The 25,269-nt window shown below is 37.5% G+C and overlaps 1 annotated feature.

Moving 5' to 3' along the window:
- Nucleotides 16,692–17,891: an enhancer, noted in NCBI's record as "MED14-independent group 3 enhancer chr12:68221514-68222713 (GRCh37/hg19 assembly coordinates)". NCBI's record gives its function as "activates an origin of replication core promoter dependent on BRD2, BRD4, P300/CBP and CDK7 cofactors, and independent of MED14, by STARR-seq in HCT116 cells {active_cell/tissue: HCT116}" and the evidence as "EXISTENCE:reporter gene assay evidence [ECO:0000049][PMID:35650434]".

Below are 25,269 nucleotides of genomic sequence, written 5' to 3' on the forward strand. Positions count from 1 at the left end.
TATTCCAAGGAGAATCCCCCTGCCCTGCTACATATAATTGATTCTGGCTTTCCCATCTACAGAAGTCTCAGGATTCACTTAAATTACAGTCTTAGCTTTGTTTTCTCCTTAGCTGCTCACTAAAAGATCCAAGTGAGTTCAAAAATTCCACTGACTATGTAGACATGCAGGCCCTAAGAGAAAAGTAGAGACTTGCTCAAAACCACTCCATAGGTATACCTCTGATACTGCACACATACTATATCCTAGGTCTCCTCTGAGACCTGGTACATGTCTTCTGTTCTTTTTTCAAATGTCTTCCTTTGCAACTTTCAGTTACTCTTTTGCGAACACGTTATAATGATATTTACTAAGCACTACTTAATGGCATAAATTCTACCTTAAGGCCTTAAAAGCTTTATTTTCAGATGTCTGTAAAATCTTGTTTAAGAATAATATGGGTCCAAATAAAATTCTTATTTGACTACCTTAGTCATGACATAAGCTCCTATAAAAAGCAACCTCCAAATCTTAGCTACTTAACACCCAGTGTAGATGTTTCTAACTGGATGACTCTGCAGTAGCTCTCTTCCAAGCAGTGACTCATGATCCAGGCTACTCCCATCTTGTGGCTCCATTATATTGAGATTTTAGTCACCCTAGCATTACCCAACACCAGACAGGAGAAAGACAATGAGAATGGAGGATTACATATGGAAATTTCTTTCTCAGCCATGCTGTAAAGTGGCTTATATTATTTCTCTATATATTCCATTCACTATAACCCATCAAATGGCCCAACAAACTGCAAGTAATGATTTACTGGGGAAAATACCTGTGAAAGATAAAGTAAGTAAGGCTGGGAAATGTCATTTCTTCATTGTGTGAACATCACAGAGTGCACTTACACAAAGCTAGATGGTATAGCCTACTACACACCCAGATTATATGTTATAGCCTATTGCTCCTAGGCTACAAACCCATACAGCATGTTACTGTACTGAATACGGTAGGTGATTGTAATACAATGGTAAGTATTTGTGTATCTAAATATAGAAAGGGCACAGTGAAGAAATTACAGTCTAAAAGATAAAAATTGCACACCTATACAGGGCAGTTACCATGAATGGAGCTTACAGACCTGGAAATTGCTCTGGGTGAGTCAATGAGTGGGTGGTGAGTAAATGTGAAGACCTACAGCATTACTGTACACTACTGCAGACTTTATAAACACTGCACATTTAGGCTACACTAAATTTATTTTAAAAACTCTTTTCTTTTTCAATAATAATTTTAGCTATTGTATGTAGCTTTTTTACTTTATAAACTTTAAAAAATCTTTTTGGTTAAAAACTAAGTCACAAACACACACACATTAGCCTAGGTCTATACGAGGTCAGGATCATCAAGACATGTAGGCGATAGCAATTTTTCAGCTTCATTATAATCTTATGGGACTACTGGCATATACGCAGTTCATCATTAGCCAAAACATCGTTATGCAGTGCATGACTGTATGTCCTATATTTATTTTTCATAAGTATTAAAAGCTCTAATTTCCCCTTAAACACAGTTGTAGCTGCCTCCCACAAATTTTACTATGTTGTCTTTTCATTGTCATTCAGTTCAAAATATTTTCCTCGTGGTTTATTCTTTGACTTACAGATTATTTAGAAGTGTATTGTTTAATTTTTACATATTTAAAATTTTCTTACACATTCAACTAATTTCTAATTTAGTTGCAGTTTCTTCAGAGAACATACTCCCTATGATTTCAATTGAGACTTATTTTATGGCTCAGAATATAGTCTACCCTCAAGAACTCACCATGCACTCTTGAAAAAAGTTTATTTTGCAATTTTGCACTTGTTTGGTATAGTGTTCTATGTATAATAATTAGGTCAAGACTGCTGAAAGTATTGTTCAGAACTTCTCTGATTTTTGTTTGAGTGTTCTATTAATTGCCATGGGGGAGATATAAAAATCTTCAACTATAATTGTGGTATTATCTATTTTTCTGTTTAACTCTGTCAATTTTTGCTTCTTGTATTTTGAAGTTTTTTATTAGGCACATATGCATTGGTGATTGCTAGGTTTTCCAGATGCTTTGTCTTTTATCAGTATGAAATGTCCATCTAACTTTTTATAAAGGAATTGTAAAATACAAAATCTATTTCATCTGCTGTTAATAAAACTACTCCATCCTTTTAAAAAATTTTAATTGTGGTAAAATACACATAAAATTTATTATCTTAACTACTCTTAAGTGTACAGTTAAGTATATTCACATTGTTTTATAACCAACATCTATAACTTTTTCATCTTTCAAAACTGAAACTATACCCATTAAACAACACCTCCTCATTTCCCCCTCCTGCCAGTCCCTGGCATCCACCATTCTACTTCTGTTTCTATCAGTTTGACTGCACTAGATACCTCATGTAAATGAAATTGTACAGTATTTGGCTGTCTTTTGGGAGTGGATTATTTCACTTAGCATAATGTCTTCAAGTTCCATTCATTTTGTAGCATGTGTCAGCATTTCCTTTCTTTTAAAGGCCGGATAATATTTCGTTGTATGTATATACTGCATTTTGTTTATCCATTCATCTGTGAATGGGCATTTGGATGGCCTCCACCTTTTGGCCGTTATGAATAATGCTATGAATATGAATGTATAAATATCTCTTCAAGACTCTGTTTTCAATTGTTTTGGTGATACACCTAGAAGTATGAGTATTGCTGGATCATATAGTAACTCTATTTTTAATTTTTTTAGGAACTGCTGTACTGTTTTCCATAACAGTTGCACCATTTTACATTCCTACTGTATTAGTTCATTCTCATGCTGCTATGAAGAAATACCCGAGACTGGGTAACTTATAAAGAAAAGAGGTTTAATTGACTCACATTTCCCCATGGCTGGAGAGGCCTCAGGAAACTTACAATCATGGTGGAAGGCTCCTCTTCACAAAGTAGCAGGAGAGAGAACGAGTGCTGAACAAAGGGGGTAACCCCTTATAAAACCATCAGATCTCGTGAGAACTCACTATAATGAGAACACTGTGGGAGAAACCACCCCCATGATTCAATTTTCTCCACCTGGTCCCACCCTTGACACGTGGAAATTATTACAATTCAAGGTGAGATTTGGGTGGGGACAACCCAAACCATATCACCTACTGATGGTGCACAAGGGCTCCAGTTTTTCCACATCCTCACCAACACGTATTTTCTGCCTTTTTAAAAGTTTTTATTTTATTTTATTTTTATTTTATTTTTTGAGACTGAGTCTTGCTCTGTAGCCCAGGCTGGAGTGCAGTGGCACAATCCTGGCTCACTACAACCTCCACCTCCTGGGTCCAAGCAAGTCTCCTACCTCAGCCTCCTGAGTAGCTGGGATTACAGGCACCCACCACCATGCCTGGCTAAGTTTTGTATTTTAGTAGAGATGGGGTTTCACCATGTTGGCCAGGCTGGTCTTGAACTCCTGACCTCAAGTAATCCACTTGCCTTGCCTCTCAAAGTGCTGGGATTACAGGCATAAGCCACTGTGCCTGGCCTCTGCTTTTTTTTATACCAGCCATCCTAATGGGTGTAAAGAGCTACCATGCCTGGCCTCTGCTTTTTTTAATACTAGCCATCCCATTATGGGCTTTCCATCCTTCTTATCTATACTGTTTGCATGCTATAGTTTTTCCATCTAGTTACATTCAAACTTTGTCTTTATATTTAAAGTGTATCTCTTAAAAACAGCCTACACTGGAGTCTTGTTTTTTTTCCTCACATTCTGATAACATCTGCATTTCACTGGGTATATTAGGTCTAGTAATGGTTGGGTGTGGTTTTTACCCACCCAACCAATAAAAACATTTATTCTTTATTTTATATTTATTTCCTCTTTTAAAATTCTATTAGTACTCTTTATCTGTATTTTTAAATTATTTGAATATGTTTAGAAACTTTAAAAATGTTCCCATTGGCTTTTTAGGTATACTTTGCCTTTTCGGCTGTTCTATGGATAAAATATGTATCTTAATATTTTCACAGACCAAATAACAATTAATATTACAGCATTTCACATAAAATATAGAATCCTGCCAGCCTATAGATACATACCCTGTCCTCATCCTTTATGCTACATCTACCTTCATTATCAACATTGTCATTATTCACTCTCAACAATGTATTATCAACATTGTCACAAGACACTGTTATAATTTTGTCATTAAACACTGTGTGGTAAAGAATTAATCTTGCTCAAAGGGAGGTCTGCCCTGTGCCCTTGACTTCTGGAAGGTAATCTTGAAGCCCTTGGAATGTCCTGCCTCATAAGAGTGTCTGTTTACCTGAGGGCTTTAAGCCACATCAAATATAGCAATGTAATGTATAGTGGAAATTTTGGGTCCTATGGTATCAGCTCAACTACTGGAGGGGCTGGAAACTAAGATCAGCCGTGTGGATGGTCCATCATGTCTATGTGACACAGCCATGATAAAATCTTGAACAAGATTCAGGTGAGTTTCCCCACTTGGCACTACTCTATATATCTTGTTATACATCATTTCCATGAACACTGAGAAAGGACAACTGGAAGCTCCATCCATGGAATTCTCTTGGACTCTACCCATGTGTCTCTGTCTCTTTCCTCAGCTGATTGTAATCTGTAATAAACCATAACCATGAGTATAGCTGCTTTCAGTGAGTTCTGTGAGTCTTTCTAGAGAATTTTTGAATCTGAGGGTGGTCTTGGAGACCTCAGACTTCTAGTTGGTATCAGAAGTGAGGGTGGTCTTGTGGACTACCCTTTAAACTCTTACATACTCATATGTATGGTAAAGAAATTAAGGGGATTTAAAAAATTATAGTCTTTGAATTTACCCAAATATTTTCATTTCTGATACTCTTTTTTTGAGGATTTCTGTGTCCATTTGGAATTATTTCCCTTCCACTAAATAACTTCTTTTGGCATTTTCTTTAAGTGCAGGCCTATTGATGATACATTCTTTTAGTTTTCCTTTATGTGAGAATCTTTATTTCACCTTCATTCTTGAAGAATTTTTTTCACTAGATACAGAATTCTAGGTTGACAATTTTTTGTTTTTTGTTTTTCTTTTGGCACTTAAAAAATGTTTTTACACTCTTTTCTGGTCTCCATAATTTGTGATGAGAAGCAATTTGCAAATTAAATGATTGTTCCCTTATATGTAATCTATCATTTTCTCATTTTCTCAAGTTTTGCTCTTTATATTCAGCTTTCAAAAGTTTATGATGTTCCCAAGCAAAGCCTTCTTTATGTTTGTCCTGCTTAGTGTTTCTTGATCATATTTAATATTCTTATGCTTCATAAAATTTGGAAAATTTTGATTGTTATTTTTTACATTTTTTTTCCTTGCCCAATTCTCTCTCCTCTTTCCTTGTGGAATTCCAATTATACGTATGTTGGACTATTTTATATAATCTACAAGATCCTTGAGGTTCTGTTCATTTTCTTATTTTTTTCTCTGATATTCACTTTAAATAATTTTATTGGTCTATCCTCATGTTCACTTGCCCTTTTCTCTGTCATTGCTACTTTGTTTTTGTAGGGGAAGAAAAATATATATTTTTTTCTCGACCCTCATAAATTTTCAGTTACAGACTTCTGTAAAAAAAGACACTTTAACAACAGAAAAACGGAAGTTTATTAACATGGATATTTCATATATACATGAGAGATACCCAGAGAATGAGTAATTCTCAAAGAGGTGGCTTTGAATTTCAGCTTATATAGCATCGTCAACAAAGAAGAGTAAATTTTTAGAGGAATGACAAGAAAATGAAAAGAGTTTTGAATCTCTAGGGCCATTAAATTGTGAGAAGGCATATAAATTATATAAATATAGATTTCTTTGGTGTTATCTCCAGGTCTACAAGGGTCTAAAGTTAACTTTTGTTCTCCCTGGCAGAGAAAGGAGGTGGGATATCTTTTGGTTTTATTAATTTGTGTTCAGCTTTTAGGCAAATGAGGGGTAAACACAAGAGTTTTCCTGCATCTGCTTCTTTTTAATTGCCATCAGTGCAACAGTCACTATGCCAAAGAGGTATATTTTGGGGTGACATATTCTGGCCTCTCACACTCTTAAATCTATCTGACAGTTTTAAAATTTCAGTTATATTTTCAATTTTAGAATTTATATTTGTTTTCTTTTTACTTGCTCAATTTACCTGCTGAAGTTTCCTACCTTTCACTCATTATAAGCATTTTTTTTTTACTTTATTGCAGGGTCATAATAATGGCTTTAAAATCCTTGTCTGATCAGTCCAATATTTGGATTATTTGATAGTTAGATTTATTTAATTTTTTCTTACGAGTATGTCCCATTTTCCATGTTCTTTATTGTCAAGTAATGTTGATGTACCCAGAGTATTATGAATGTTAAGTTGTGGAACTTGGATTCTGATGCTTTTCTCTGATAACTGTTAGCTAGTTTTAGCAAGCAATTTTACTTGGTTTGAAATGAAAACTCAATTTCTTATGTAGCATCTCCAAATGCAGTTCATATCTTTTGTCTTTAGCAGAGCTATTTTGAGCCTACTTGACACATGTGGTTCAAGAGTTATTGAAAATAAAAGCAGATAGAATTTGGAGATCTTCTCTCTGATCCTTTTCCTTACAGGCTATTCCTCTGTAGTGACTGTGGTCTCCTCAGATTAAGTCTTCTGGGTCCCTGGGACAAAAAGACTGCAGTTTTTCCCCCACCAGTGTCCCAGTGTTACTCAATCCCCACTGACTGCACCTTATCCCAGGCTAAAAGGACAAACATAGAAACTCACTCTATCAGCTCCTTTCCCAGGAGGATGAACTACTTATAAGAATTTGCTTGTATCACTTCACTCTCTAGTGACTTCAGCTAGCTACTTTTTACATTATGTCCAGAGTTTATAGCTATTATCTGCATACAGATCAATATCTTACACAGCAATTACCCCATATTTTCTTTATAACCATCTTTTAACTAGTAAATTGGAATTTTGTCTGTGTGGGAGGCATCCCATGACTATCTGCAGGGATCTCAGTTTCACAGATATTGATTACTGTAAGCTAAGTGACAATGATGATTCACATTTAAATTCTTATTAAATTTAATGCAAATTGATACAAATTACATACCCACATATAAGATAATGGTATACTAGCTATGACTTACAACTAGAATATAACTAAGTTATAGCTTTTGAAATGAAATTAATTGAGCCTAAGGAATAATTCTATTAGGCATTGATATTTATTTAATTTTAAGAGAATATTTATATTTAAGCAGTACCTGAAAAGTTACTTCATTTTCACAAGATTCTAAGAGTATAACATTGTCATTTGGTACATCAGTGCCTTGGGCCTATCTTGCCCTATTATTTTTAACAAGAGTAGGGATGGAAACTGTGAGATAATTGTCTGTTGCAATAACTAGCTATGCTGTTTTGGAGAGGAAGTCCAATGATAGATAAATCTAGTTAATGCAGACACTAACTCAAAAAGCTTGCTGCAAGTGTCATCGTTTATAAATAAATCTCATAAATCTGACCTTGGCCAAGTTATTCAAGACAGGGTTCTTTTCCTCAGTTTCTTCACCTATGACAAATGGATAGGCTTGTGGGGCTGTGGCTAAAACAGATGAAATAAGTAATGAAAAGCAGTTGGCATAGTGTTCAGCCAGTTTAAATATCTGTGGCAATAACTATTTGGTGGCTTTGCAATGTGTCAACAATCACCTCAACTGAAATACATTTCCCAGAATTCCCTTTCCTGCACACTTCCAGTGGGGTCAGGCCACAGAGAGATTTGAGTGGCATATCAGGCAGAGTGAGGCAGCAGTCATCTGTAGTTCGCATTCATTGCCATCCATTTGCTAGCTCACCCTGCTGGCACAAGGCAGCTGATGGGCCTATAACTGACCACCATTTCCTGGAGATTTCTGCAGCTTGCCTGACTCCTGGGCCATTTGTGTGTGTTTTGTTCCATGATGAAAGGCCACCACTTCTGCAGGACAGCCATATCATACAGGTCAGAGGAAACGAGATGATGTAGGTCTCAGGCTGCCCTTTTGGGTTCAAGCTTCTACTGTGGGTTCCAGTCTATCCTTGCTCTCCTAACTTTCCATCCATCTCCCCTTCCTGCCAGCCCGTTCTGTGGCTTCAAGATCCAGTGTCAGATGGAAAAGCAACAGCCTTGCAGAGACTGTTGAGCCAGATCCCACAATCGCATAAAGTCAAGTACTTGGGACCAATTGCTCCTTTTCAACACACACACACACACACACACACACACACACACACACACACACACACAGTTTCTGCTTCTCTGATGGAATGCTGATACAAACAATAATTGAGAGTAATTCAGTTGGTAATACTCTAATTAAACATCAAAAACCCTCCTTTAATGGCTGGTAAACACAAATGACTCTTAATATGGCACCTTGGTGCTCTAGAATGCATCACGGTATGTTGCTAAAAACACCTGAAGAGCACCAGCACTTCTAATAATAACAATAAGAAGTTTAACAAAGGCAGCCGGGCGTGGTGGCTCACGCCTGTAATCCCAGACCTTTGGGAGGCTGAGGTGGGTGGATCACCTGAGGTCAGGAGTTCAAAACCAGCCTGGCCAACATGGTGAAACCCAGTCTCTACTACGAATACAAAAATTAGCCAGGTGTGGTGGCGAGCGCCTGTAATCCCAGCTACTTGGGAGGTTGAGGTGGGAGAATCTCTTGAACCCGGGAGGTGAAGATTGCAGTGAGCCGAGATTGCACCGCTGTACTCCAGCCTGGGCCACAGAGCGAGACTCCATCTCAGAAAAAAAAAAAAAAAAAAGAAGTTTAACAAAAATTTTTTGAGTGGTATATATTATACTAAGTCAAATACTATTTCAAATATTTCTTCTTCATATGAACAATATGAAGTAGAATTTATTAATAGATATCATCATCCACATTTTACAGTTGAGGAAACAGACAGAGTAGATAAGTAACTTCCTGAAATCACACAATTAACACATAATGCAGTCAGGACTCACACACACATGGCACTGATTCCAGAGCCTGTACCTGTAATCATTACACCACACTGCTTTCTGATGCCAGGGGTTACTGTGAAAGTCCACAATGAGTGAGAGCAAACGAACATCACTGAAAATGAACTGGGTAACTGCTTAATTAGAAAAGTTGCAGGCATGGCTGGGTGTGCATTCCTTGAAATTAAAATTGACTGGGACGTGTTAATAACTTTTCACCCTTCTCAATTTAAAAGATCATATTTTCTTTCAACAATTTTTGTTTTTATTTTGTTTTGTTTTGCCTTCCTTTTCCATTATTCCTTTTCTTTTTCCACTGTCACTCTCAGCTTCCAGCCTTCTTCTTTTTTGATCTTTTTCTTCCAGCACTCTGAGCTGGAAATATTTTAGGAGCAGCTTGTTACATGATATTTCACTAAAAATAATACAAGTCAAGTTATTGGCAAAAGAGTTAGCCTTGGAGAAACAGTTGTTCAGAACCTGGAAAGCGGTGTGGTAGATCTGTCCCGGCTTTTCAAACAGGATAAATCTCTGAGACTTTGTGTCTGGTTGTGAGGGTGTCCAGACTAATAGAGATGAATGATCATGCGACTCCTCAGTGGGCTCAGCTGCCTTGAAAGGGTGAGGCCTTGCCGGACAAACATTTTGGGACAAATGGGTCTTATGGATTTGTGGAAGTGATATGGCCACTTTACCAATTTACTCTCCTCTGCTGATTTAAAAGTTTGACCTCCTCAAGCCTCTGTTCTCTCCTCCTGTTATTCTACATCTCTCTTACTCGCCCACACCCATTCGATTCCTGCGTACTGTCTAGAAGCCTAGCGGTTCAGCATGTGGACTCTGGAGCCAGACTCTCCGGGTTTGAATCCTGGCTCTGTACTCCTACCCGGGTGATTTTAAGAATTCTGGGCCTCAGCTTTCTTGTAGGTAAGTAAGTCTAACAACTGTACTTGCCTCAGAGGGTTGTTAGGAAGATTAAATGATTTAGTATTGATAAAGTGCTTAGACAGTGACTGGTAAAAGTGAGTGTTTCCAAGTCAGTTTGTTAAATAAACTTGCAAATCTATCTAGTTTAGACTTTTCCTCTGTATTCCAGACCCACATGTCAACTCCTTATCTCTGCTTGGATATGAGACTAACAACATTTCCAGAATTCAGTCTTTAAAAGACATCCTTTGCTTTTGATGTGCCCTATGTTGGGGATCCCCTCCCCTCTATCCATCCTGTCTAGAAACATGGGGGTCACTTTCACCTCACTCTACCTCACTCTATCCATTGTATTCTTGACTCTGCCTCCTAAATATCTTCCAAATCCTTCTATTGCTGTCCATTAACTTTGCCATCCCTAGTGGGCCAAGCCACCACCATCTGGTTTCGGACCATAGCAATGAGCACCCAAATAGTCTCCATGTACCTGTGATTATACCTCTCCAGTTGATTCCTCTAACTGTGGAAAAGGATAACTTTCAAAATGAAATGCAGTGGCATGCATTTTAAAAGCTCTCCCACTAATGTGCGTTGTTCTTGGTTTATAAAGCTTCAGATTATTATGCTTCAAGGAGTAGTGTTCTGCCTCTGCTTCCCTCTCCACTTCCATTCCTCAATCCCACTCCACCTAGGACCTTCAGCAACATAGTTCCCTCTGCTTAGAATATCACTGCTGTCCCTTCCTGCCGTTAGTCCTGCCCCTCACTCGCCCCACCCATCAATTTCACTCTCCCTTCAAGATGCAATCCAGTGTCACTCCTTTCACCCGTTTGGTATCCTAGTTGGACATTTCAATCACACTCTTGCTTATCCTTTGTGTCACTTATTACAATCCTAATTTAATATTTTAAATTTAATTTCTGTCTTCCTACTAGACTCCCCACTTGGCAAAGACTTTATATCACCCAATGCTGTATTTCCAGCACACAGAATGAGCCCAATGAATAGCTGTTTAATGAATGAGCAAGTATGTGTATGGCTTTACTCATGTTGTTATACGTTTGATCACTGTTAATGAGCACAGAAAAAAAAAATCAAGCACCTTCTCCCACACTGACGCCACATCCATTAAGAAAAAGAAGGATCCTGGGTTCATGGATCCCAAATTTCTACAAATGTAATGTCTACATTTTTTAAAAAGGATTTTATTTCAAATTACCTTCCACAGTTTGGAACCACACTTGATATCCCTGAAAACATTTATTTGCCTTAAATGCACATTCTCAATGCATTTTGCGTAACTTAAAAAGTTCTATTTCTATACAATTTTTTTTCCCAAGGTATGCCTCTATTCCTATCTATGACAAGCTTGAAGAACAATTCAATCTCATTATGACCTTTTATTTCAACTTTGTCCCTCAGTGCCTATAATGAGCCACAAATGTTGAAATAGATCATTCTTTTCATCATTCCTCAGTGGCCCAATTACCAGGAAAGCACAATACCCCAAGAAAAAATAAAGGAGAATGAAAGCCTGCTCAAAGGACGCATTTACATTCTTAAGGATTTCTAGCTTTTTTGATGAAATAAATTACAATGAATGAATCAGAAACTTTATCAGACCTTCATTTCAGGAGAGCCACATGAAAAGGAAGCTGAAGTTCTTTACTTATCCAATAGTCAGTTATAAGGCTATGAATATTCTATAATATTTTATGTCTTCTAATGTAAATGGTAATATAATTGAAGAACAATTATATTAACTATCAGTTATAAATTGGAAAAATTTTAAAAATAGAAAATAAAAAATCTGAATATAATTGTTTAGCTCTAATACACAATTATTTGATTTGTTTTTGGATCCTTGAATTTTAAAACATGTTTGTGTTACCCTCTTGATTCTCTTATGCAGATTACAGCTGCATTTTCTTCTGTCTGTTGGCTGTAGAAATGATACAATAGAAAGCGCTTTTTCTTTATAGACTGGTTGCATGTCTCTGCTTTGCTTAATCCCTAAAACTCTTTCAGGGATTTAAAACTGCATGTAAAAATGTTTCCATCATGCTTGCTGAGTTGAACTAGGTTAATGAGGTTGGGGGACTATCCAGGAGAGTACATGGATTGCTCAAGAGGGTCATTTAACTTTGTTTTCAGAGGGGGTCATGAGAGTCTTGGATGTTCTGAACTTAAACATGCATTTTAGGTGTTTTATTCCTTTTCTTCATTATTAATTTAGGCTTTATTTCTCCTGAATCTTTTGAATTAATTATATTTTTTAGAGGTATAGCCTCTTGATGGTAGAGAATTCTACAAAAATATTGCTTTTTACATGAAATAGCAATTCTCACTGCTAAAATACCTTTCAGAATTTTAAAGGTGGTATTCTCATTTTAATATCTAAGGATTTGACTTTCATTCATACAAAATTGTGTACAGTTTTAAAGACTTCCATTAGGTGCTCTCTCAGCCTTCATCTTTCCTAACTAAAGATTTCTAGTCTTGTCATCCTGACAACTCAAGGCTCAGTGACCTTCCCTAGAATAGTGGATATTCATTAGTTTTTGGCTTATCAAAATCTAATTCATTCCCAATTCCCAGTTGTTCAATGGGGATCCACCACTTGCCACTCTCACTATATATACACACACTATACACCAGGAAATCTATTTTATATATATATATTAAAAATATATATAGCATATTATATATAATATAGAGTGTATATATAATATATAGTGTATATATAATATATATAATAGTGTATAATAGTATTTGTGTATATATATACATATATGTATACATATATACATATATTTGTATATACATATATACACATATACAAATGTATATACAAATGTATATACAAATATATGTGTGTATATATATATATACACACACAGTGTAGCTGTCATCAACCCTGGCCTAGGGATGGTATCTAAGTCATGTGTGGCCACACAAGGTCTCATATTTCCCTGTCTGTAGTGATTTGTTTAGAGGCAGACTTGTGACCAAATCAGTGCCATTGAGATGCTATGAAATATTTCTTAGAACTCTTGGATAAGAGAATGGCATGCTTTGGGGGGATATATTTAAACACGAGACAATGCGCGTTCTGAGGCTGTTGTAGATATCTATCACAAGGGGACATTTTTTTGAGGATGAAACTCATTGTAATTAAACAGTAGCCTTTTACAACCCTAGGAGAAAGTGAAGCCTGAGACCTTAATATGTTATTAATGTTCTGTAATAATCAATTCTCAGTCTCTGAAGGATGATGTTAATGATTTGAAATATCTGAGGGCCCCAAAAATAAAATAAATACACAATGGGAAAACCCCAAGTTTTGAGGGCTGTGGAGCCAAGTCCCATCATTGGCTATACAAATGAATTATAGTTAGGGGAAGAAAAGCAGATGCATGGGTTAGCTGAGGTTTCATGGGGCCACAGGGCACAATGGTTCATTCAATAATTAAACTAATTTTCCCCACATTCAATTAACAAAACAATACATGGTTATAACATATTACATACCAAAGTTGAACAGTAGTCAAGTAAAACATGATAGGATTTTCATAGATCAAAGGATCCACCAGTGAATTACAGCAAAATATTCTAATTTCCCTAGCTGATACAAACTCTGGCTTGGTCAATGAGTCCATTATCTTTATTTTTTGCAGAGTTGTAACAGAGTAGTGTAGTAAAGAAGGAATTAAGCCCAGCCTGAGTCCCATAGCTACTGAGCTGTATGCCAAGGCAATCTTTATCTCAGTGTCCTCATCTTTAAAATGGAAGGGTAGATAAATAGCCTTCAAAATCCTTTTAATGTTTTGTTTTTGGTCTATTTCTTTTCAAACATTTTATACTTAGCCCAAATCCTTACCAATACATTTTAATTATTAATCTTACAAATAAATGAATGATTCTCAGAATGGAAGGGAGAACATATCATAGACCAAAAGTGGGTATTTATCAAACTCTTATGCCTACTTACACTTCCTGTCTAGGATGTCTCGGTTTTAGGAAACAGAGGAATATTATCTTGAGAAAGCTCCAAGTGGTCCCCAATGTATACACACCTACCTCTGTTTACAATTACTATACTAAATCAGCAACTTCTTTCCATTCAAGGCTTGAGATTCATTTGAATCTCAAATTGAATCACCAAATACATCATAATTGGATAAGAATTATCATTCATACTACCATTAATTAATTAATTTTGCCTTTAGTGAAATATTCCAAGGCAGAATGTTTGGGACTGTTTTACTGACTGCTTTTTCTTGAGATCTAATTCATTCGACATTTTCCTATGGAGTAAACTACAGGCAAAACTAATTAATATTATTAATAATGATATGACAATAATGACATTTATTGAGTACATACCAAGCAACATTCATTTTACTAAGTTTTTACAGTGGATTATCTCATTCAGTCCTCTCAAAAATGCTTTGAGGTAGGTGCTAACATGTCCAAATTTTAAAATGGAAAAGCTGAGATTTAGATTTAAAAGCCTTGCCCAAAGTTATACAGCTGTAAAGTGGCTAAGCTGGGATTTGAATTCAGGTCTGCCTGACAGCTAAATCTGTTCTCATTATTACTATTGCTTCTATAATCACTAATTACATTAATTTAGTGTCTACTATCTTCTATGTGCCAGATAAGTGTTAAGTGACTTATATTCATTATCTCACACTGAACCACAACCCCACAAGGGAGTTTATTATTCTTACAGAGTTGCAAGGCAGAAGAATTTGAAGTTTTTGGATTATTGCATGCTATAAGTAGGTTTCTTTCATACATTTATGAAACTGGTGCCTTGCTACATGTATACATATGAATGTCAGCCATCAAAGAAAATGGTAGCTTAGGATGAATGCTGTAGAATGGCCCTGTCTACTGAAGGCCAAATGTATCAGAATGAATCTATTCCATGTAGACAAATGAAATTTTTTTATAAACCTTCTGATTATTTGTAATCAGAGCCAGGAAAGAGACAGTGGTTTATGACCCAGAACTAATGAGGCTTGAAATACTTTTTCAATAGTTAAAAAATATATAGTGATATTCTTTAAAAAGTTAATATTCTTGTTGTATCACTTTTAAAAGAATTATAATATCAATATCATTAGGTTTTAACTTTTATATTTTCTGGTTTTCTACATAAAAGTACTCTTGTATAGTCTTATTATGTTTCTAGACATAACAACTATTTCAATTCTGCTTAACAGAGATTTCTAGCCAATAAAGGGTGCCAGACATGAGTCTGGTCCCAGGGAATCGCTGTGGATTAAGACTCAGTCTCTGGTCTGGAGGAGTTTACCCCAGAACCCTCTGTCCATTTTTAAACACTTCCCGTCTGGGGCCAAGATTCCTCTATCTCCAGTCACCTTGCATGCTGACTGGCTGCATAACAACTATTTTAAACTTAGTCTTTGGAAGGAGTTTAACCTTCATTTAGTAGAAGGAGATAATACTTTGTTTTCCTCTGGCTTTGATATGTATCTTCCATAGTTAGAATTCCTATTAATGTTTTAGGTTCTGCTTCGCCAGAGTGAAAACAAGGGCCTGTCTTCAAGCAGGTTAAGACCTAATGATACACTAAGTGTTTAAAAGAATTCTTTTCTTTAAAACCTCTCAAAAATGAAGCAAAGTGAGGGCTGGGAAACAACAGGCACACAAGGGACTTGATAATGATCTTGAAATTTGTGAAGGGTTATTGTACAAATGAGGATTCAGAAGCAGTGATATTTTTCAACTGATAGTCCAACAAATAGTAAGTAAAACATTAAAAACAAAAAGTAAAAGGCCTTTTATTTCAGCAGAATTCCAGAATTTGTAAAATTATAAGGCTCAGGAAATTTGAAAGATGCTGATACCTAAAGGAAGCTGAGACACAACTTTAAAAAATATTTCACTATGTGCATACAGCTTTCTGGAGAAACGGAACCGACCCATTTCTGAGGTCCCTCTATGGCAGCCTGTGCAAGGCACACAAACACCCCAAGATATTTTCTTATGGCCTGTATTTTATAAAAGAGAAAACAGAGACTCAAAGATATTAACTTGTCCAAAGTCATGCAACTAGTGAGTGGCAGAATAGGAATTCAAACCCAGCTTTGACTCCAGAGCCTGCACTCTTCCCATTAGATCATTCTACATCCTTTTTTGGGATGGTTTAGTTGCCAACTGGGGATAAAATAAATGGTCTTTTGAAATTCTTTCCATTGCCTGGATTCTATTCTCCCTTATTTGATCCCAATATTGGCCTTAACACTGTTTAGCAATTTGTTATACTGAGAACATGGGTTAGGAAACAATACAATTTGATGAGTTTAATGTAAATTGTTTTCAAACTTAAGTTCTCACTCTTACTAGGTCACAAAATCTCAGTGAGAAGGCACCTCAGAGTTCATCCGGTACAAGTCAAGTCCAGTGTGTAATTCAATCTGTCTTTCTCCTGTCTTTCAGCAAATATTTAGTAGCACTATGCGTTAAGCAGTGTATATACAGCAGTGAGTAACACAGACCAGCCCCTGCTATCATGAAGCCTTTTCCTTGTTGCCGCTGCTCTCTTCTGCATTTTATAGCTGCTCATTCGGTGGAGTAGGATAGACTCTAGCTAATAAAGGAAAGAGAAAAGGCCAAACCATTTCAAAGACTCTCTTTTACATAGCTTATTAAGAACCCCCTGTTGAATGGTTGACATCTAAGGCAGTAATTGGGTACATAAAATTCGATCTTAGTGCTTTGCCCTTAGTCTGTGGTCTTATTAGCGAGTTTAAATGCATTTTCCCCATGTGGCTTAAAGATTGTTAAAGATCTAGAAATACTTTTTGACTCGTCTGAGCAGACAGGAAGACAGATGGACTTAGAGAGTAATGGTTGGCAAGAACATGCTGTTAGTAGCTTGATTTGAAGGTGGTTCTGAGAAGGATCTTAGAGATTTCAGTGGGTGTCTGAGACAGGATTTACTTAGAAAGGGAAAAAGAAAGTGACTGTAGAGACAGCCCAGGGAGTATGACATCACTGCAGGAGCAGAGTGGGAAGGCCGGGAAGAATAGTGTGAAATAACACCTACCAAAACATACGCCAGAAGACAGGCAAAGCCCCCATGCAAGAATGCCACTTGTTGCCTAAAGCACCCTGTGCATTTTGTTACTTTGCCTCCGTGTAGATCTGTCTTATTTTGTCTTGTGTGTGGTTAGTGATACACTGATCTCTCTCCCTCCGTAAGAATGAAAGTGAGTCAGAGCAGGGAACCGTGGCTTAGTCATCTTGGAATACCCCAGTACCTTGCTCACTGTCTCTTAGACAGAGTGGGCGGCCCAATAGGATAGAGGATCTAGAACTTTTTGATTGGGTAAAAGGCCTATACTTAGCAATAGTTTTTGAATAATAAATGAAGTTAGGGAGAAAAAAGCAGAAACGTGTCCTGTTCCAAGCAAGCTTGGAGGGAAGAAAATAGAGCAGTTCAGAGTTGTTTTTATTCTTTCAGAAGTCACTAGCTAAAATTAAAGAGCATCAAAAGATGAAAGCAGGGGGCCATTTGCCTTGTTTTATCATAAGCAAAATCCTGATTTGTGGGGTTCGTTGCATATCCTGCTTCCCTAGGCCTACCCAGCCTGGAGTTAAAAACAGTAACCAAACAGAATTTGCTTTAGTTTGCCCCCAGTTTCCCCTACAAGAATTTCAGTTACCTTTGAATCTCTCCCTAATTGTTCTGGGAAGTCCAGGAGTTACTTCACTTGTATTCTCATCTTGGCCACCATCTGCCAGGAGCCACTTTCTTCTTCTCTGCTCAGCAGCTGAGAGGTTGCCAAGAAGCCAACAAGAGGCTTCTGATAAGTGTATGCAGGCATTAGGCATCCATTTTCAGTGTGCATTAAAGCCCACTGTTCTCCCACCCTCCATTGCAGATGTAGGCCCATATGATGACTTCTCAGTCCATCATTTCTTTCTGTACTACAGCATGCTCCAGTTCTTCTTGGTGAAAGACAGTATTGTTAGGTGGTCAAGAGTGTGGATTTTAAATTCAGAGAGATGTACATAGAATCCTGGATCTGCCATGTTTGAGCTATGTGTCCACAGGCAAGTTACACATCCCTTTTAAGCCTTAATTGGAGAAAATAATGACCATATCATTGGATCACTGTGATGATTGGATTAGATAATGTATGCAAAATGTTTACTAATTAGAAGAGCTCAATAAATGTTAATTATTTGTATTACTGCCATGAGTTACCTAGGTTACACAAAAGCACTTCTTTGTGCTCTCAATATCTAAAGATTTTTTGTAAAAACAGCTCTTAAAATTTAAAAAAAAATTTGTTTATGGAAATGAGGTCTTATATTACTCAGGCTGGTCACAAAGTCCTGGCCTCAAGTGATCCTCCTGCCTTGACCTCCCAAAGTGCTAGGATTACAGGTGTGAGCCCTCCAAGGAAACCAAATGGGGAATGATCTGAATGATAATGTTATTACCCAAATGATCCTCTCCTCCAACCCTATCCCACTGTCTTCAAATGTATTCCCCTCAAATCTGTTCTTATAATGAGCTATTTCCTAGTGAGATCTTGAGTACTTCATGCCAACAGAGCTCTGAAGGGTCCCCTACAGTGAATCTCCAGATGGGGCCAGGCATGTTTGAATGGTAGTATGAACACAGCTAAGATCTTTAACATCTAGGGAAAAATTTGGCAATAGCTAGATGGTAGGTGAAAATGTTAAGGAGGTAATGTAAAATAAGAAAAAAGGAAGAGAAATTCAAGTCCCCCAGGAAAGCAAGCCAAGACTCCATCATAGAGCATACTTTCTGGAAGTCAAAGGTTATCTTTTAATTTACATTTTCCCGCAGAAAATTAGTACATACAAGCAAAAAACCAAACAAATATGGCTTTACTGCATTCTGAGTAATATTCTTCAAAAAAATGCTGGCAGAAAAGCTGGGACGTGTTTTATGCCTTGGTCGGAAATGCGCATCATGATTCACCAGACACAATTCAATTCACTTTGAAATTATCCCCTCTTTTATGCCCTTCAATGGGAGAAAAAAATGAATCTACTCAGTAATGAATGCACAGTCCATTATAGTTATTGTGTTCTTCTTGAAAAAAAAAATAACATGACAGCTTTATTCACTCCATGTGGCAAACCAAATTGCATCAAGTAAAGTGCAAATAAGACAAACACTAAAATTGAATTTTTCCTTCCTCTTGTACCTAGAGGCATATGCTATGGCGGGAATGCATAAGTTAAAATGGCAATAATAATAATAACAGTGGAAAACCAAATGCAAATATTAAACTCAGTTAGAAAACTGATTCCAAGGGGCAGCAGTTTTCATGCTCCATCTGCTTGGAGAAAATTTCTTGTTAATCAGGTCTATAAATGAGTATGGGTGTTGGATTCTGTTCTCTGCTAAAGCCATAAAAATTTTCGTACAGTAATGCACCTTATCTGTTGAATCTGCTTTATTTATTTAAGTTCCAAAGACCCCCAGGAAGTTTGCTAACTAATACCCCAGGGAAACTGGTCAAATGAATGCATGCTACTAGGTACTATGGCAAACACTAATGGAGAAATAAATCAACTATTTCTTTTATTATTTTCTAATAAATTAGAAAATTTGACTTTTTAATTTAGATGTCAACTGAGGACTATTCTTTATCACTATGCTGGTGAGGCCCAGTGAATATATTCATGGGAGAAAACCAGCTCACCAAATTCCAGTAATTTGCTTTAAGTATCCTTTGTGAAATTTCCTGTGCATGCTTAGATAATAGAAAATTCTCATGGGACTTTCTTTTCCTTGGTCTTGAAAACACATCTATTAAGACTAGTTCTGTTTTATTTCTATTGCTTTTATGTTGCAAGGCTTAATGGAACATGTGACTTAGATTAATATGCAATTTTTTAGAAAGCAAAAGGAGTATAGAAGCTAAGTTTTTTCCTACGTTTTATTGTTGTTACTATTTTTTTTTTTTTTTTTTTTGAGACGGAGTCTCACTCTGTCGCCCAGGCTGGAGTGCAGTGGCGCGATCTCAGCTCACTGCAAGCTCCGCCTCCCGGGTTCACGCCATTCTCCTGCCTCAGCCTCCCGAGTAGCTGGGACTACAGGCGCCCGCCACCGCGCCTGGCTAATTTTTTGTATTTTTAGTAGAGACGGGGTTTCACCGTGGTCGCGATCTCCTGACCTTGTGATCCGCCCACCTCAGCCTCCCAAAGTGCTGGGATTACAGGCGTGAGCCACCGCGCCCGGCTTACTATTTGCTTTTAAATCATGATGGAGAGCACAGGCTTTGGATTAAAATGGATGCCCTTCTGTTTAAAATCCAACTCTGCCAAGAGCTAGTTCTGTAACCTTGGACAAGTTATTTAACCTCTTTAAACCTCGACAACCTATTCTGTAAAATAGGTGCAAGAGTTTCTTTCTCACAAGACTGTAAAGATGAAATTCACCTTAGTAAAGTAGCTGGCTCATAGTGAGTACTATACAAATGATAGCTGTTAACATTATTATTAAGCATATTAATTTATGATTATTTATTCAGTTTTTTTGGGGGGGAATTGATTGACTTCACTCTAGGTGTAACCCAATAGATATAAATCTAAACAGACCAGTCATTGTTAAGGAAAAAAGCTCTTGCTAAGAGTGACTCTTTTAGTACAATGCTTGTGACATGCACATAAACAGGCAATGAACTGCCTCTAGGACAAAGGACCTCAAGCAGCTGGTTTCACACAGAGCAATCTAACTTTATGCCACCGAAGGTTAGAATGCCCCTACATGCTCATCACAAACTTAGATGAAATAACAAACCAAATAAATATCTACTTTGTGCCTTCTATGTGTCAGGCATTGTGTTAAGCACGTCACATATCTAATGACGCTATGATGTCTTCTCCCCATTTTATGGATAAAATCACTAAGCCTCAGAGATAATAAACAACTTGATTAAAGTTTCTCAGCTATAATGGTGGAGAGGGAATTGTGGTTTAAGCTGGGCTTGCATTTTCCATTAGACCATATTTTGCTTTTCATAATGGGCAAGGTAAATTACTCCACCTAAAGCAAAAGAGAGGTGCAGGAGGTGCATTTTCTTTAAGAACAAGGAGCGTGCATGGGGGCAGGAGGTGGGGGCTGATTCTGAGTATGCCTGCTGCTCCAAGTGTCCCCTGACCCACATCCATAGACTCAGGCCGCAGGCCACAATATGAGACTGAGGGAAACCCCAGGAGTTGTTTGGGTCACAGTCCAGGAGAGGCAGATGGAAGATGGGTGGAGACCTAGACCCTAGAACCACTCTGCATAGGTTTGTCTTCCCAGCTTTCCTATGGACATATTCGCTGACCTTGCACAAGTTACTTTAACTTGTCCTAGCCTCCAATTTTTTCATCTGGAAAGTGGGAGTAAAATACTACCTGCCTCCCAGGCTCTTATGATTATTAACTGACTTAATACATACAAAGTGCTTAAAGAAAAGCCTGGAATCTAGTAAGTTCTCAAAAAATGTTATCTGGTGCTGTTCTATGATGTATCAAGATTATGGCAGATAACAATTTGACCTTGCTAAGTTTGTCTGGTATCCTTGCATTTCCTTGCCTGTCTCTGCTTGTCATTGGCATTTTCTGCCCTCAGGGATGTCACAGCTAAGGAGCCAATAGCAGTAGGGCCTCCAGGGCCTCTGGGCAAAGTGAGCACAATCCTCCTCCCTTCCTGTCCCTCTCCAAAGCAAGGTCATGTTCCTCCTGGAGTAGGGCAAGGAGAAGAACGGGAAGGAAGCAAGGGAGGCAGATGCCGGTGTGTGTCACTCAAAAAGGGAGCAGGCTCTTTCCCTTACCTCTTAGCCAGAGCCCCCAGGAGGAGAGAAGGCTGGACAAAACAATCCGGATCAGTCCAGGGAATCTGGGAATAGAGGGCTTCTGTGCTCATTCAGAGACGGAGAAACAAGCAGGAGTCGGGAGACTTGCATGAACGGCCAGGTCATCCGTAGTAGGATTTCCCCCACACTCACCATGGGGCCAGTGATGAGGAAGAGCAGGAACCATCCTCAGATCTCTGAGGCTCTAGAGTGGCGTGCAGGTATCTGTCAGAGAGCTAGGTCTGAAAGGTCTTTAGGGTGGGAGTCAGGGGAGATGCATCCGCTGACTTTGTTGATGGTTGAGGACCCCAGAGAGGCCAAAGGACATCATTGTTTAGGAGACAAGGACTTAGTACTGCCTCCTCCCACCACCAGACAATGCAGAGGTAGTGTGTATTCCCTTGGAAACATATATGCAACTTGGGAAGAGGGCTCTAAATTCACCGAGTTTCTATCACCATTCAGAATGGGTGCTTAAAGTAGAACTTAAGTGAACTCGAAAGTCAAGAGAATTACATTGACTGCTCACTTGAGTGAAGTGTTACCCAGGGAAGCTGAAGCTATGGTGCTGATGGAAGATGCTGCCATGAGCAGGCAGCAGCATTTTGAGTGTGTACGCTGGCAGGTACCAGTGGCATGACACATGAGATTTTGTTTTGTCTTTGCTTGTAGGATATACTGAAACTTTATCAAGTGGGAACTCTATGCTAGGCACTGTGCTAACTTTTTAAACAGGATTATCTCGTTTCATTATCACAATCACACTGTGGGATAAATACTATTATTATCCTCAATTTACTGAAGCTAAAATCAAGGCCTAGATAGATCAAGGTTAAGCTTCTAGTATGTGGTGGGACTGGGATTTGAGTCCAGCCATTCTGTTGCCAGAGCCTGTGCAGTTAAGTGCTGTGACGTCCTACCAGGCTCAGACAATGCTTAAAGGCAGACTCTCTGGCAGACATTGGCATTGGCGGTAACAGGAGAACTCACCAAGGGGCATGTGCAGCAGAGGTGGAATGCGAGGCTACCTCTTGGAGCCAGGATGACAAAGTTGCAGGTTGCACCGATTAAGTATTTAGGAGGAATTCAAAAGATAGCTGGAGTTCTGCTGAAGAGGGCCAAACCAGAAAAATAGTTATTTTGTCACTGCCATTGTAGTCTTATTTTTGTGTCTGGGCTGGTGTGGCTTAGAAAAGAGGGTATACAGTCAGCATCTCCACTTATTGCAAAGAAGGTAAATGGATGGCCCTTGGAAGAAGGCTTCGCTAAATGGTCTTTCAGCATCTAGTGTCGCTGATGAGATGTCTGATTCCAATCTGGTTCTCATTACTTTCTTGTTAACATAATTATTCTCACTGGGTTTTTATTTTAGGATCTTTTCTTACTTCCTTTTATTCTAAAATTCCCTAATGATGTGAGCAGTGTGAACTTCTTTCTCTCTGTTTGGTGTTCAGAGACCGTTTCAACCAGAATCATTAAATCTTTTTTCAGGCATGGGACATGTTTTCTCATCTAATCCTTGGTAACACATATGCCATCCATTCTGACTTCTTTCTTTTTAGAACCCATTAGTTGCACATGGAATCCTTATGAATTAGCCCTCTAAGGATTTTCTGTTTTTTCCTTTCTTAATTTTCCATCTTGTTGTCATTATGCTTTATATCCTGGGAAATCTTGATTTTAACTTGTAGTGTATTTTTATTAGTAGTACATAAGAAGTATTCATATTTGTTGATGTCCATGTGATATTTTGACATATGCATACAATGTGTAATGATAAAATCAATGTATTTAGGATATCCATCACCTCACACATTTATCATTTCTTTGTGTTGGGAATATTTCAAATGTTCTCTTCTAGCTATTTTGAAATACATAATAAATTATCATTAACAAGCCACACTACTTTGCTATTGAACACTAGAATTTATTCCTTCTCTCTAACTGTATGTTTCTATTCATTAACCAACCTCTCATCTTCCTCACTGCCACCCTACTCAACCTCTGGTAACCAGTATTCTAATCTCTACCTTCATGAGATCAACTTTTTAACCTCCCACATCTGAGAGAGAACATGCAATATCTGCCTTTCTGTTGCTGGCTTATTTCACTTAACATTATAACCTCCAGTTCCATCCATGTAACAAGATTTCATTCTTTTTTATGGCTGAATACTATTCAACTGGGTATTTACATCACATTTTCTGTATCCATTCATCCATCAGTGAACACTTAGATTGATTCCATATCTTTGCTACTATGAATAGCACTGCAGTAAACATGGGGATACAGATATCCCTTTGCTATGCTGATGCCCTTTCCTTTGGATAAATACTGAGTAGTGGGATTGTTGGATTGTATGGCATTCTATGTTTAGGTTTCTGAGAAATCTCCATATTGTTTTTTATAATGGCTGTACTAATTTACATTCCCATCAACAGTGTAAAAGAGTTACCTTCTCTCCATATTCTCAGCAGCATCTGTTATATTTTGTCTTTTTGCCAATAGCCATTCGAACTGGGGTGAAGTGATATCACATTGTGATTTTGAATTGCATTTTTCTGATGATTAGTGATGTTGAGCATTTTTTCATATACCTGTTGACCATTTGTGTGTCATCTTTTGAAAAATGTCTATTCAGATCCTTTGCCCACTTGTAATGGAATTATTGGGCTCTTTGCTATTGAGTTCCTTGTATGTTCTAGATATTAATCCCTTGTTGGATGCATAGTTTGCAAATATTTTCTCCTATTTAACAGGTTGTCTCTTCAATCTATTGATTCTTTTCCTTTGCTGTGCAGAAGCTTTTTAAGATTGTCCAATTTGTCTATTTTTGCTTTTGTTGCCTATGCTTTTGAGGTCTCAGCCATAACATCTTTTCCCTGAACCATGTTCTAAAGCATTTCCCCTTTGTTTTCTTCTAATGGTTTTAGAGTCTTGGGTCTTGTAGATCTTCAATCCATTTCTAGTTGATTTTTGTTTATAATGAGAGATATTGGTCTAGTTTCATTCTTCTGCATATGGATATTCAGTTTTTTCAGCACCATTTATTGAAGGGAGTGTCCTGTTCCCAATGTTTGTTCTTGGCACCTTTGACAAAAATCAGTTGGCTCTAAATATATACATTTATTTCTGGATTGTCTATTCTGTTTCATTGGTCTATGTCTCTGTTTTTATGCCAATACTATGCTCCTTTGGATACTATAGCTTTGTAGTATATTTTGAAATCAAGTAATATGATTACCAGCTTTGCTCTTTCTGCTCAGTATTGCTTTGGCTATTCAGCATCTTTTGTGGTTCAATACAAATTTTAGAATTGTTTTTTTTCTCTCCATTTCTGTGAAAAATGTCATTGGTATTTTGATAGGGATTGCATTAAATCTGCATATTGTTTTGGGCAGTATGGTCATTTTAACAATATTAATTCTTCCAATACATGAACATCAG

Source organism: Homo sapiens, chromosome 12, assembly GCF_000001405.40.
Source record: "Homo sapiens chromosome 12, GRCh38.p14 Primary Assembly".
In the NCBI taxonomy this organism is placed as follows: domain Eukaryota; kingdom Metazoa; phylum Chordata; class Mammalia; order Primates; family Hominidae; genus Homo; species Homo sapiens.